Raw genomic sequence first — 15,989 nt, forward strand, 5'->3', positions numbered from 1 at the left:
CACCGCTTCTGAATCAACTAGAAAGCATGTTAAAAACTAAGCTACCTGGCTTCCTCTCAGATTCATAGAATCTCAATCTTTGGGTAAAAGGCCTAGAAATCAAAATTTTATGTATTTTTGTGTAGCTAGTCAGGGTCTGCGGTTTGGGAATCACTTATCTAGGGCAATGTATATATTCTCTCAGCTGCCCAGCCTCTGTTTAAAAACCTTCCAATTCTTTTTTGAAAATCAGAAATATAACAGAGATACAGGTTTTTATTTTTCCATCATGCATGCAAACTTACAACTATTTATACTGTTTAAGAACACAGAAATAATTGCGTTATTAACAGGGTGTCAAATTACCAAGTAGAACAACCAGTTACTAATTATTTTGGGGAGGTTATTTTCACAGAACACAGCAACAATTTCCAAATTATTCTTCCAAAACCAGAGTTATGAGACCAGTACAAGCTGATAACAATGCTAATGGTCACACAAGTTTCCATGTTACACAGAAAAAAAGATTGACATTCTGGTGAAGGGTCTCAAGTACCTTACCATATCAGAATTTTTGAAAGAGTTTTACAACAGAACAGTCTCTCTCTTGTTTTGTAGATGCAAGGGAAAGGAAGCATCCCTCTCATTTCTTTTTGAGACTCCTTGTTAATTCTTAAAACACATTTCTAAGGCCCATCTCTGGAACTTCATTAGTTAACATTAAAAGCAAAAAGCAGACCTGATGTGATTATGATAGTGCACCCCATCACTATCACCATCAAAAGAGACTACCAATCTCCCAAAGTAGTCACGGTTGCATTGGCATAGTGTCTTGGATTTTCAATAAACAATACAGGTGAAAAGAGAGAGATACAGATGAAACCAGGTTGACCATAGCTGATAAGTGATGCAGCTAGGTGATGGACACATGGGGTCCAAGGACCATCCTCTCCACTTCTGTGCATGTCTGAAAATGTCCATAACACAGAGCAAAAAAAAAAAAATAATAACAAAAAACAAAAAAGCAGACTTGCACATCTGTATCTTCCCATTAGACTAAAATGGGGAAAGTCGTAAGACTTTAAAGGCAAAATGTGCAGCATATAGCATTCTTCTGCATGTACAAAGCCACACCTAGAACAAAAAAATAAAGCATCCAAAGTAACATTATTCCGTTTCTGGTTTGTCTCTGTGGCTTATAAAATCTACTAATGATAAGATTGGACAAAACTTTGGGAACATCCTCAACTAGGCATCCTATTTGTTCATAACCCCTTCAATTCTCATTTTCCAAGCTAGGGAGGTCCCTCCCATACTCTATCACTGAGAGACAGGCATGCTCCCCCTGCGGCTTCTCAAGCCATTTCTGTCTGATTTTGCAGGCCCACTCCATACCAGTATCATGCCTACTCGACGGTTTTGCTCCAAATCCCCCACCTAGCACACCCTTGCTACAGCTTTAAGCCAAGGACTCTCTTGAGGAACTTAGAATGAGGCCTCCCTAACAAAAGAGAAGGTAGGGAAGAACAGGTGTAGATACAGTCCTTCTTACCCACCCTCAGGGATAAGAGAGGGAAAGGCCCAGCTCTGCTTTTACACCCACTGGAAATAACCCGGAGATCCAAAACAGATTCTGCCCATCCCAATCCCCATCCCCCAGGAGAAGCTTGAGATGCTCCATATTGGAGACTAAAGCCCACTCCTGGGGCTATTTGAGGTAGAAGCAAAGAGAGCAAAGGACTGCTGAAAGTGGGAAAGCTGGGGATTGAGGTCCAGATGGCCAGAGGCTACCACAAAGGAGGAAACAGCAGGAGGCACTTGGGTCTTAGGAAGCATTAAAACAAAGTCAAAACAAGAGTAAACACTAGTCTATGACATGGCTGCCTTGGGGTTTATAACTCAAGCAGATGCTAGGCATGAAAAGGATTTTCAACTTCAGAACTGTAGAGCAAGCGCAGGAGACAGGTTCAGGGTTTGCCAGCAGATCCACTTGGCCTTCTGGTTTCCTCAACTCTCTTTCAACCTAGTATGTGTGCGCAGTGCCAAGTTCTCAGCTACCTCCCCAGCTGTATGTAGAAAAATGTGGTTTTTCAGTTGTTTTCTCTGTGGTACTATTTAAACAAAATAAAAAAGAATAAGGAAAGAAGGAAGGGGAAGGCAGAAGGGGAGGAAAGGAGGCTACCAGGAAAGGGAGGGAGGAAAGAAGAATGAGAGGGAGGAAATGAGGGATGAAGGCAGGCAAGCAAAATAAGAAGTATAAGTGACCTGAAGTCAAGCAAGCAGAGGCCCACAAATCAGAAATACCTCTTCCCAGAACCCCTACTATGGCACTCTGCTCACATCTTAGACGGGAATAAGGGAAGTTGACAATGGTATCTGGATTCTATATAGGCCCAGTCCTCACCCTCACCTGGAGCCACAGCATAATGACAGTGAACACATGTCCACACATACCAGCCCGCCCATCAGTCTGGCAGCCAGTAGGGTTCCTGGAAAGCTGGGGAGGGTAGGTGTGTGTCTCATGCACTGGTAGGGGGCCTCGGTCCACAGGCAGTTCTTGAGGTCCTTGTTGACCAGGAAGCCAACTGGGGCTGACAGCAACCCAGACAAAACTTAATGGCTTGATAGTGACACGGCATGGCGCAGATCTTGATGAAAGTTCACCAGTAGAAGGGCCCAGAAGCAAGAAGAGACACATGATGGTACAGAACACATGGCATACTGTTTCTTGCCCTTAACTTCATGCATGCCCAGCAGTCAAGTGCCATTCTGCAGAACATCAAGCAGGATGGGTATCACAGACCACAGGCCAAAGCCAGAAATAAAGCAGGTGACATCTCAGCTGGTGACCCCAGACCCACAGAACAGGAAGTTCTGGCTGATGACTAATACCATGTGCACTGGCTTCATTCTGCAGTGGCAATGGAAACGCTTGCATAGATGACATGCATGGCCAGCATGAACACGAAGCCCAGCAAGTCACTGGCCCTGAAGGAGCAGAGCTTGAGGATGCACTGGTCGTCCTGGAGGATGACTCATGAGTGTCCATGTTAAAGACAAGTAGGAAAGGCCAGAGCCAAGAACAAGGTCCAGGCAATGTAGATAACAGGGAGCACACATCTAAAGTATGTGTGCTTAACATATGAACAGTCCGGGTGCGATCACATAACATGTGACACTAACGTAGAAAAGCAAGAGGCTATGGGAGGCAAAAGAACATGATCATAAATGCCATATTCTTGTAACTAAAGTCCAAAGGGTCTATAGTACACAGAGGCCAACATGAAGAGAAGGCAGAGAGCCAAATATGTAGTCAACCAGGAGCAGCCCAGCAGGAGGTAGCAGGGAGACTTGTGCAGGATCAGTTGGATTGGCTCACCCCAGGCTGAGTAGTCTCCATTGGCTGCTTTCCTGGACCTTGCCTGCCTTCTTTTTCCTTTCCTTTCTCTACACGAGCCCCTTCACTCAAAAGGTAGAACTGCAAGGGATTGGGCCACAATTCTTCGTTGATTATCTCCACAATCTTGTCAGACTCAATGGAGCTGTGGTTTGAAAACCACCCAAAGAAACTACGGTTGTTTTCTGGGTTTCCCTGGCTTAGGGACTGGAGATCATGCCCTGGGAGCCACTGGATTGGAGTAGAACGAGACACCACCTGGCCAGAAGGACCACACCCATATTCCTTGATGAGCACCTTATTTTGGAAATACGGGTTGCGATCGAAGTAGAACTTGATTTTGTAGCCCAATCTGGCAAGGCCGAGCTCTTCCACTTCCAAGCTGTTTAAGTAGCTCAGTACCTCTTTCTCTTGGCTATTCAGAAAGGATGCTAGCTGGGGATGGTTCTGAAATGCTTGCCCCCAGAAGCCCGGGATATTTTGGATGAGGTGGTTCCTGCGCTCCAAGTGCTGCAGTCGCAACTGCCCAAACTTCCTGGAGAGCCGAAGGTAGGCCCTGTCCGCCTGGGCGTTCATGTTCTCCAGCTTCAGCTGCACGTTCTCCAGCGTATCCATGCTGCCTTCCGTCGCTGGGGGCCCCGACCCTGCATCCCTCTCTTCCTTCTTTTCCTCCCCAGCTGACACCGAGGTATTCTCCCCTGCCGCCCCTTTCTTCTGCCTCCCACCAGCTATGACCTGAGGCCCCCTCCCCGCGGTGCTACAGGTTTCTGGGGCCTTCTTCCCGGCAGGGCCACGCCGGTTTCCAACGCGGGGGGCATTTTTCGGCCTTCCCACGGTTCCCGCTGTTCCCACGAAGACAGTGTCTGCGGCCAGGCGCTCCGAGAGAGATGCGGCCTTCCCCGGGCCGGGCCTGGCCGCGGCCTGCCCGTGGTCCCCCGCAGCTCGGGCCCGCAGCGCGAGGCCACAGTCCAGGGGGAGCCGGCAGGCGGCCTCCTCCCCGAGCCGGAGGAGCTGCGCGGACGCAGCGGCTTCCAGGCCACCCCACCCCGCGCCAGCCTGCACCTGTGCCGCCTGGGTGTCTTCCCCGAGACTCTGGTACTGTGAAGGGTCCGGGTCGCGCGGGGCGTCGTCCGGAGCAGGGCGGACTCGGGCTTTGGCGCGGCCTTTGCCCCGGTTTTTGGCGCGGGAGGACTTTCGACCCCGACTTCGGCCGCTCATGGTGGCGGCGGAGGCAGCTTCAAAGACACGCTGTGACCCTGCGGCTCCTGACGCCAGCTCTCGGTCGGGACCGAGCGGGTCTCTCCACGGCAACCGCCGACGTCACGAACGTACAACTGTACCGTCGCGAGAGGACGTGATGCGCCCGGTGATTGGCGCCGCCGCTGCGGCTGCGCAGGAGACGACCCCCGCGGGCGCTCCCACCCCCATCTCGCGCGGACTCGCTTTAGGTCTCGGCGAGTTTCTCTGATATGCGCTCGCGGGGGTGCTGCCATTTCATCTCTTCCGCGCGGGCTCATCGTGCTCTCAGGGTCTCGTTGAACAAGGCAACGCTAAGAGCCATCACCACCTGTCCCCCATCACCTGTTTTCTAAACTAAACATCTTCAGCTCCTCCAGTTATCTCTTGTGGCATCTGTCATGAAGAAAGTGCTCGGGCGTGTGTGTCTCTCTTTGAACACCTTTGCTGAGGGATTTGCTCTGGTACCTTAACTCCAGAGAACGTAAAGGTGGATGCTATAATGCCGGGCGTCAAAGCGATTTGGTACGCAGTAAGATGATAGTAGAAATTATAAAAATAATGGCAACTAGTATTTTGTATCATTTGTGCCAGGCACTTTACTAGGTGCTTTAAATGCATTATCTCAATTTACAAAGGAGGTGTTGATATCATTCCCATTTTCGAGATAAGAAAACTGCATCTCAGAGACACCCGGGCACATTCCCCAGGTTACACAGTAAGGGATGGAAGCACAATTCAAACTCAAGCCCATGGGACTCCGTATCCTATGCCTTATATTTGGAAATGGCAAGTCCTTCCAGACTTGTTCCACTGTCAATTACTGGGCTGGCTCTTAAGAAATCAGCCTTGCTCCTTAACAAACAGGCTTCCGTGGACCACCTGACCACCTCTTCTGCCTGGGAACATCACCCGAGTCCCCCAGCTGCCTCAGTTTACAGATCTGGACTATCACTCTAGGTATAGGACCAGAAGTGAAGACCTGTATTAGAGCTCCTGTAATTGGAGTAAGACAAGAATGTGGTGAGAGGTGAAATTATTATTCAGGGAGCAGATTGAGGTTCAGAAGCAGAGCCTCCACGTGGCACTGCAGAAGCCCTAGAAACTTCTTACACTGTGCATGGAAACAGCCGGACAACCTCCCCCACAGTCCCGGAGGCAGCCCTGGACCACGCTCTTACTAGTGAGGTAATAGGACCATGAACAGTGAGGGGACCTGTGGCTAATGTAAAAATATAAAGAAAAACCTTTTGAGGTGGTCTTTTCAGGCTCAAAGGGAACAAAAAGGCCCTTGTAACCAGCTAGTGGAGAGATAAGCCCAAAAGCCCCGGGACCTCATTACTCAAAGTGTGGTTGTGGACCAGCAGCCTGATATCACCTGAAAGCTTGTTAAAGATGCAGAATCTCAGGCCTTTCCCCAGACCTACTAAGTCAGAATTTGAATTTTAACAAGATCCTGGGTGATTTGTATACACCCCTAAGTTTAAGGAAACAATTTAAAGAGGAATTATTTTTATACAGATGGCCCTATTTTAAGCCGGCCTAATACAAGTGATTCCTCATTTTCTCAAAAGCTCTAGAATAGCCTGCAAGGCCCTGTATGATCTGGCAAGTCTTCTATCTGCCACTACATGAGTTACCTCTCTGACCTCATCTTCTCTCTCCTCTCTCCCACCTCTAGCTACACTGGCTTCCTTGCTGTTCTTAAACTCACTAGGTAAACTCCTGCCTCAGAGCCTTTGCACTGGCTCTTCCTTCTACCTTAAATGCTCTTTCCCAATGTGGTTGGTGGCCTTGGCCAGCTGCCTTCACACTTTGCTTAAATGTCACCTTCTCAATGACCATCCTATTTAGAATTGCCACCCACCCCATCCCTTTATCCTATGGTACTTTTTCTTTATTCCAACACACTATACCAATTATTTATTATGCTTATTAACTATCTCTTCTCTCTAGAATGTCAGCTCCATGAGGGAAGAGATTTTTGTTTTGTTCACTGATGTATCCTCAGTGCCTGCAACAGTGTCTGACATATCAAGAGCACTTAATAAATACTTGTTGAAAGAAAGAACCAATCAAAGCAGAGTTTTCAAAAATGGGTTTGTAAATGATTGTCTGAAGTTCAGAATAGCTCCCCTTTTCCCACAGAAGCAATGCTATGGATGCTGTATTCTCAGATCAACTCATGGAAACCTACTAAACTCATAATTTAGCCAAAAAATTATCTTTTGTTACAGAGCACCATTCAGGGACAGTCTGTAAGTAAGAATTTAGAGTGACAAATTTAAAAATTAAGTTGGGAGATTTAATATTTGACTTAAAAGGGATTAATTAGTGCAAGGATTATCTTAAATTCTTGTTGAAGGCCCTTTCATAATAATTTCTTCCCAAGGCCTTCTGTGATCACCCCAGACCACAATAAGCAGCCTTGTCCTTGATCTCACAGAGTACTTGTTAACTATAGTATTCATTTGGCAGTGGGGCACACCCTGTTTTGTACCAGTTCTTTTACAAAATTACCTCTTAAGCTAGATAATCACAGCCTGAAACTCTCCGTAAACCTCAGAAAAAAAATTAAAAAATCATCTGACGCATTTGCCAACCCTCTATAGACTTTAGACATTGATGGGTTGGCCCACTTCTTAGAACACTCACAGATCAACCCATCTCTGTTGTCAAGAGTCTTAATCCAGCGTCAGCATCTGCGTCATGTAGCAGTCACCAATGGCTAAACCACTGTAGGATTAACACAGGGCTGGGCCATTGCAATGTGTTTATTATACAATCTGCCTTGAGCCTTTTTTCATCATGTCAAAGAGATAAGCATCAGATGAAGGGAAATAATTTAAAAAAATACCCCTCTGCTCTAAGCCACCCAGTTCCCCATGGCTTTTGTATTTAAGAGTTTGGTCTGTGCTGCTGAACTGGACTGTGTTTTCTTCTTGGGTCTTAATATTTAACTTTATGTGGAACTGTAGTTTGTGTTCCTAATTGGATAGTAAACTGTGTAAGTGTGGAGACTGTGTCTCTTTTTACTTTTATCTCTCAGAGTACCTAGCATGGGGCCTTGCACATACCAGTAATTATAATGAAAGTTTACATTTATTTCATACTTTTATATAGTGCTATGCCTTAACTCATTTAATCTCTGCAATCACCCCATGGGGCAGGTGCAATTATTGTTCTCGTCTTGGAGGAGGTTACTGCCACACAAAATGGTTCCATAACTTGCCCAAGGTCACACAGTTAATAAATGTTTTTTGCCCAAGCGATGCGACTCCAGCACCGTGCTCTTAATTAAAAATACATAATGTAAAATTATGGCTTAAGAGATTAAAACTCTCTCCAGTGGGTAAAAATACCTTTTAATGTTAAAAAAATTATATATATTAAAAATATATATACACACACATATGCAGATGCATACATATACACATAATACATACATCATTTAGTTATGAGTCATTTATTTATGGGGTATACAATATACCTGGCATAGCAATACTCAACATAAATTTAGTTTCAACAGCCCATGATGAGAACGAAGCATCTCTATTTGCACTGCATTTATCATAAGCATCCTGTTAATATTATGAAAGAAATGCAAGTTTACTGTCATGAACTCAGAGATCCTGGAGTGTTGTGAACTTCTTGCAATATCTGCAGGCTTAAGTTGATGGTAATATAAGCATTTAATTGATTATTTCTAATGTAATATTTATTAGCAAATATTTATTAGAAATTCATAAAATATTTTTCAAATGTTTATGTGTATTATGTCTATATGTATGTATATGCATATGTACTTGTGTGTATGTAATTCAAAATATTAGAATAAAAAATCTTCACTTTTGTTTTCTGCATATTGTGCTTTCTCCGTTCCTTTTGATATGTTTTCTTTGAATCACAGAAATTTACAAGCTGGGAAAAAGACATTTGTCATCCAGCCTATTCCTCAGCCAAGGGAACAATATTCCCCATCATTTCTCTCGTAGAGCTTTAGGATCCCAGACTTGACATTTTTAGCCACAGCACTTTTCTATTCTTCCCCAAGGAGAAAGTTTAAGTCTGTTAGATAGCAGTGAGTATTGCTTACTGTGTGGAATTTTGCCAACCAACCCTCCCAGGTTACCAAAGGGTATGGAAAAGAAGGCAGTGTCCTAAGAAATATTTTCATAGTCAAGGAGGGAGGGAGAGAAAAATCTGCCTCTTATGATAAATTTCAAGACTATTTGAGCTTAACATCTTGAGAAATTTGCCTAGCTTCTTGCCAGTTCCTCGCCAAAGAGGAAAATTTTATGGTAGACCACGTCACTTATTTCAGATCATATCCTATAAGTAGCTATAAAATATTTTAAAGTATTGCCTGACGTATTCTTTCTTCTTGGCATTTCCTTTTTATCCTGCAGCATCTTAACCATTAAAAAAGATCTTAGGCTAAGGCTTTTGTTCTAGAAAAGGGAAAAAAAAAGCAAAGAACCCAGCAAGCAGAATTTCAGCCAGTCAAATTCTTCACTTTGAATTTCAAAATTGGCTCTTAAGAGGGTAAGACACAATATCATGGAAAGAGAAAGATATATATATTTGATATATATTTGAAGAGCTAAATGTGCGCACGCACACACTGCCTCTACTCTCACTGTGTGTGAGAGAGAGAGAGAGACGTGTGTGTGTGTGTGTGTGTGTGTGTGTGTGTGTGTGTGTGTATTTAGCTCTCCAAAGATAAGTCCTGGAGCACTAATAGCATAGAGTTTATAACATTAACCGTAGAAGAGGAAAAACATGATGATATACAAGCCATTTCTCTGCTACACAAAGAGGAGCTAAGAACCTTTTCTGGTCTGGAGTCGAGGAACTTGGAAAAGATTCAGAGAGTGAATAGTTGGTGTAGGGTCTTGAGAAATGCTTCTCACGGTGACCACACAGTGACCACCACATGGGTCAATACCCTTGGAGCATTGGTAAAGACAACCTTCTCTGGACAAGACAGAGGTATGGGAATAGGGAGAATTAGTTCCTAACTTGACAATTGAAACTCACACAAGAAAGGGCTTTTCTCAGAGGGCTCCATACCATCAAAGGGCAGCCAAGACAGTATAAAAGTATGTATAGGGTAACAAAGAAAGTTCTGAAATGGCTTCTCTCACCCTGTATGCCCCCCACTCCCAATCTCTGGCAGCCCTAGAATGAAGTGGAAGGGCAGCCATATGTTCCTCAGGCTTGCTAAGAGAGGTCCAGAGGTTGGCTAAGAGCAGATGGAGTTCAACTGGGTCTTGCAAGCTAGGCCCAGAAGTTGCAGAGTAAAGGGCTTGGTCATCAGATACCATGAGGATGTGCCGCATCAACGTACACAATAAAAGTAGAGGAAGATCCCAAAGATTAGGCAGGGCCAGCTAAGCTTCAGCAGAGGCCAGCAAAGACAGAAGATGAGATGCACACCAGAAACCTTTTCACCAGTTATGGGATGGATAACCCTTGGCTCCTGAGAAGATGGAGAAAAGAAACAGGGAACACCCTAAATGAGTACATATTTACCTCAAAGAAACTTGAATTTCAAGTAGTACGTTACCAAGTTGCCTGAATTGCCATGGTTACATTCATCTGGATTTTATAAATTGTTATAACTATAAAAAATTATATTCACTACAATAGTATTTTCTGGACCAGACCCAGTATCTAACAGATGTAGCCATATAACACTAAGGCAGAAGAAACTCAAGAAACAAGTGACTTTAAAACTCCCTGGAATATAAGTCACATTAATAATTTTAGAAAATAGCAAAAGGTATTAAAAAAAGACTTCATAAAATATGTTATGATCGCAAAAATCAAGAAATCCATGAAACTCGAAATATGAGCATTTTTTACAACAGTTAAGAGTAACTTCTAAAGCAAAACTGAGTGCTCTCCAAGAAAGTCTTTCATTCATTGCTTATGAGTTAAATTTAGAATGGTGGGTACACTCCATTTATTGCAGTTATTGCTTTTAATACATAATTTAGTAATTTATCATACACTTGAATTCTTCTCCAGTTGGGTTACATATGCAAGCCTTTTGCCTCCAACCAGACCAGAAGCTTCAAGTTGCAGAAACTGAACTTGCTTTATGTAAGCTGCATGGTGCCTTCTCCCTGAATTACTCCAAAGCCATTCCTGCACCAAACAAACCTCATCAATTTCCAAACCAAAAATAAGTTGTTCTCAGTCAACACCACCACGTGTTTTCTAGTGCAGAAAACAGCAAGGATGCAAGGTCTTTCTCTTCCCTACCATCTCTTTTTATGCCACTCAATAATGCTGATATCATACTTGTTTATATCTTTACGGTTATACATACATACAGACACACTCTTAACTTCCTTACCCCTCTTTTTTTTTCTCCAAATACAACACATCAATTACTGGTGTAGAAATATACTAAAGAAAAAAGTAAAGTTGCAAATTTTTCACTTGGAAGATTAATTAAGAGGAAAAGATCCCAACAGAACCTGGATATGCCAGATGTTGTTGAGAAACAGCAAGATGGAAAACAGAAACTGGAATCATATCCACCTCATGTACTCTTAAGGTCCTGGATGGTTTTGAGAGTGAAGAAAGCATACTGCTTCAGAGAATGGCCAGGACCAGCACGGAGTTAGGGTCCTGGGGTAAGGTGGGGGAGTTGTCTCAGATAACCTGGCACACCTCAGACACCAGCCAAGCAGCTTTGGTGGTGAGAGAAACCAACTAGAAGACCCTCCCCCACTTTATCAAACAAGTCATCGTTTTCATGGAGCTAGGAGTTTGTACCTAGGACATAAGAGATATGAACAAAGATAAAATTAAGTTAAATTTTAAATGAATGGGGAAGCATTGTGTTCAATCATATGTTGTAATCAATTAGAGTCCATAAGTATGGGGTTTCATTGTTCCAATTTATTTTACCTGGGCTAATTTAATTGAAGATACTCCTTGGCTTCTGGAATGCCCACTTTAGTTATTTATTTTGTATTTGTATAACACTTGGTAGCAATAAGACATTTTTAAAAGCACTTAAAAATGAATATTCAAGAAGAAGGACAAAGGAAAATTAAGGGCTGGGAAGAAAAGAACAAAACAGAGTAAATTACCCAAGTGCATTCAATTTTATTGTGTTTGATATACTTGCTAAAGGCAGGCCACAGATTGGACTCTGACCTTTTATCCATCAGTGCAAAGAGAGAAATCAGATGTGGTATAACATTTATAATGTTTGTAATATTAAGAAAGAAAGAAAAAAACAGATTCTCAGGGAAAACACATTTATTTACAATACTTAACCCAGAGAAGAATGTCAAGATTGAAAGTCCCAGGAGAATCCTGACACTGAATCCAGCACTGTGGGCCCGTCCTGTGGCACTCGCCTTAGGCTGGTGAGCAGAACAGAGAGACACTTCATAAAAGCAGTTCCATGGTGGTTTAGGTCCAAAACTAGAATGACTCAATCCAAGGAAACAGTTCATAGAATTTAGAGGAGACAGTGGACATGTATCTCAAAGTCAGCCTCTGCAAACACCGCCTTCTTCAATTGACATTATTCTCCCTGACAAGAGCCTGGAGCCTGGGTATTGTCTGTGGTAGACAACATCACATGAGGAATGGACTGTGTTGAATTTCATTCTGTTTCCTGCACCAAATGGGTACAGAACTTTCCTGAGAGCCATGCCTTCTGTTGCTTTCAAAAATGTTTTCCCACTTCAAGTCCTCCCCACCTCACATTCAGACTAAGTTAGGTCCCAGTGGAGTTAAACATTTTTCTTCTCAGAGTGACTCTGCACCTTGGTTTCTCCATAGTGTCAGAGATGGTTGTTCAGGTCAGGGTTCAGGTACAGGGTCATGCAGGTGGTGGAATGAATAGTGACCCAGTGCAGTCCTCAGGAAGTCACAGGGGCTGGGAGGGAGTGCGGGTTATGCCTCATCTCAGGCTGACAGTTGCCACTCAACTCCAACTGCGCGCTGCCGTGAAGAACTCTGCATTTTTATGTGAAATTTCTTACTTTTTAAAATCCCATGAGAACCAAATGAAACCATTCTGCTTGTGGGCTCCACGGTGCAACCCCTGTTCCATGCCCATGTTCTTTAAAAACTATGTTTTTCAGTGAAAGCATGAACAAATGTCTGGAAATTATTTGAATTCCCCTAAAGAACAGAGATTTTTATTCCTGTCACTCCAGAGACACTTTTGAAAATAAATAGCAGTAATATGATTCAAGGTAGGACTCCACCTTGTGTGGTTAAAGAGGAAGGAATTGATGGCAACTGGAAGACAGCTTTTACAAGTAAGGGATATTTTTGTTAAGCAAGATTTTTATTCTTTTTCATTTTAAACATCAAAGATGATGATTGTGTGGGTTTTTTTAATTTTTTCCTTTTTTTTTTTTTTTTTGAGATGAAGTTTCGCTCTGCTGCCCAGGCTGGAGTGCAGTGGTATGATGTCAGTTAACTGCAACCTCTGCCTCCCAGGCTCAAGCGATTCTCCTGCCTCAACCTCCCGAGTAGCTGGGTTTACAGGCTCCCACCACCACGCCTGGCTAATTTTGTGTGTGTGTGTTTTCAGTAGAGATAGAGTTTCACTATGTTGGCCAGGCTGGTCTTGAACACCTGACCTCAAGTGATCCACCTACCTTGACCTCTCAAAGTGCTGGGATTACAGGCATGAGCCACTGTGTCTGGCCTTATTTTTTACTTTTGTAGAGACAGAGTCTTGCTTTGTTGCCCAGGCTTGTCTCTAACTCCCAGGTTCAAGTGATCCTTCTGCATCATCCTCCCAAACTGCTGAGATTGCAGAAATGAGCCCATGCTTACCCGTGATTATTTTTAATTGGTTTTACTTTTTCATACATAGGGTTCTGTGCTACCTCTGTTTTCTTTTTCTTGCTTGCTTTTTTTTTTTTTTTTTTTTTGCGACAGAGTCTCGCTGTTGCCCAGGCTGGAGTGTGGTGGTGCGATCTTGGCTCGCTGCAACCTCCACCTCCCAAGTTCAAGCAATCTTTGTGTCTCAGCCTCCTGAGTAAATGGGATTACATGCGCCCACCACCATGCCCAGCTAATTTTTTGTATTTTTTTGTAGAGACAGGGTTTCACCACGTTGGCCAGGCTGATCTTAAACACCTGACCTCAGGTGATCCGCCTGCCTTGGCCTCCCAAAGTGCTGGGATTACAGGCGTGAGCCACCATGCCCGGCCTGTTTTCTTAAATATGTAGTTTAGATTCCCCAAACATGTTCTTCTCCCTACAATATGAAGGCTTTACCAGACCATCTCAGACACATTCATGCTGCTTGCAGCCCTTAGCAGTGGGATCCACAGATCTTTATTGAGCAACTAACACGCTCCTGACAGGAACGGCAGACTGAGTGACTAACTCTGCCTCTTTGGATGATTTTTTCCTCCCCATCTTAATCAATATCTACATAATTGATCAGGTGAGCCAGATGGCCCTTCCGCTTCACAGATTAAGACAATTAGGACACCAGACAGGTGTTCAAGCTGGCATTTTTCATAACTAAGACAAGAAAACCTAACACTTTATCTTCCTTGGAAAAAGGCAAGCTCCATCTGGTCCTGGGCATGAATCAGTACTAATTCATACGCTATCTAGCTAAAAATGGGTACAACCATATTTAGACAAAATACGGTATAAAAGGGAATTATGTGTCAGTAAGTTTGTAAGAGCTCCCACCACAGAATCTGGATTGAAATATCATAGTAAAAACCTAATAGAATACTGAGAACACTGTGTGTACCAACATTTTACAGACACTCTTAAGAGAAAGAGGCTGGTTCTAGAAAGCAACTAGACTCCCTTCTCTAGGACCAAATCTCAGAGAGACGAAGAGCTCTGAGACCGGGGGAGCCTCACAGCTCTGAGCTCTGAAATGACTGGGGGGAACAAAAAGACCTAGAAACACAAGGCGAGTTATAAGGAAAGATTAAAGATCTATTTCTGGAACCTAGACTTACAGAGGGTACTCTTCCCATGCCACATGCTATTTCAATGGGAGAAAAAATGCAAAACAAGTCGCAGTTTGAACATGGAATGGTTACTTTATTTAGAACGAGAAGAATGTTTACCATTCTGTAGCTAAACATAGGACTTGCATTTCAAGAGGCCAGGGGATTTATGCTTCCCTCTATGACATGTTCTCTTAACTCCAAGCCCCAGTGTTCCATTGCAAGAGTAGCAGAGGGACTCAGCTGTAGTGGAGGGACCCCACTGTAGCAGGGATCATCCTAGAAATGACACTGAACACCAAGCAGGCCCCTGCAGAAGATTTATAAACATAAGAGCCACTCCAAAGTACCTGGGCACCCTACCCGCCACACGAAGGAGAACTGAAAAATAACAGAAGTGCCTCTGGGAAGGAAATGACAAATATTCCTCCTGTCTCTTGCCTTCCATCACTCATACCAATTAAAAAGTAAAACGAACATCGCCAGTGACAACAATCAATTTTCCCAGTTTATAATCAAACAAGATTTCAGCAACCAAGAATGTTGCAAAAAAAATTATTACCATAGGCCCTGCATATTTCTATAGTAAATAAATTCATTAATCATCAAGAGCGCTTATATGATATTCTCTTGATGATGAATTAATTCACTTATGAGAAGAGAATTCTGGAAAAAGTCATGTTAAGAATCCTGCAGGTGGAGAATAGCTAATGGATGCTGGGCTCAATACCTAGATAATGTGTTGATCTGTGCAGCAAACCACCATGGCACACAAAGATTATCTATGTAACAAACCTGCATATCTGGCACATGTACCCCTGAAGTTAAAATAAAAGTTAGAAATTTTAAAAAATTAAAAATTAAAAAAAAGAATCCCTGGCTGGGCGCGGTGGCTCACGCCTGTAATCCCAGCACTTTGGGAGGCCGAGGCGGGCGGATCACGAGGTCAGGAGATCGAGACCATCCTGGCTAACACGGTGAAACCCCGTCTCTACTAAAAATACAAAAAATTAGCCGGGCGTGGTGGCGGGCGCCTGTAGTCCCAGCTACTCGGGAGGCTGAGGCAGGAGAATGGCGTGAACCCGGGAGGCGGAGCTTGCAGTGAGCCGAGATCGCGCCACTGCACTCCAGCCTGGGCGACAGAGCGAGACTCCGTCTCAAAAAAAAAAAAAAAAAGAATCCCTCAGGCATAATTCAGTCTGGCCTTCTGGCCTCGATTTTACCATTCAAGAGTAACTGGAAAATATCATGCATGACAAACCACCCCCAAAATTACACACAATTAACAAAGTAAAATGTCATTTTAAAATTAAAATAGAAAATATGTTGATGTTTTTAGGATGATGTTTGCTGAACGGGATAGGTGGGACCATGTGGGATGGAGGAGGGGGCTGGCAGGAAAGAGT

The 15,989-nt window shown here is 43.6% G+C and overlaps 1 protein-coding gene and 1 long non-coding RNA gene across 2 annotated transcripts in view, besides 1 other annotated feature; both read right to left on the reverse strand.

The window, feature by feature from the left end:
• Positions 1 to 15,989, reverse strand: part of LOC101927066 (uncharacterized) — a 494,634-nt gene that overhangs the window by 321,387 nt on the left and 157,258 nt on the right. The gene's annotated exons all lie outside the window — the stretch shown is intronic.
• On the reverse strand, positions 238 to 4,678 carry TSPYL5 (TSPY like 5). Its single transcript, NM_033512.3, has one exon. It carries the CDS (start codon positions 4,592 to 4,594, stop codon positions 3,341 to 3,343), a length of 1,254 nt encoding a protein of 417 aa, NP_277047.2. The 5' UTR covers positions 4,595 to 4,678; the 3' UTR covers positions 238 to 3,340.
• Positions 3,715 to 4,216: an enhancer, noted in NCBI's record as "H3K27ac-H3K4me1 hESC enhancer chr8:98289193-98289694 (GRCh37/hg19 assembly coordinates)". NCBI's record gives its function as "activates a minimal SCP1, AML or CMV promoter by ChIP-STARR-seq in primed H9 embryonic stem cells {active_cell/tissue: H9 hESC(primed)}" and the evidence as "EXISTENCE:reporter gene assay evidence [ECO:0000049][PMID:30033119]".

The sequence above is a fragment of the Homo sapiens genome, chromosome 8 (genome assembly GCF_000001405.40).
Source record: "Homo sapiens chromosome 8, GRCh38.p14 Primary Assembly".
Lineage (NCBI taxonomy): Eukaryota > Metazoa > Chordata > Mammalia > Primates > Hominidae > Homo > Homo sapiens.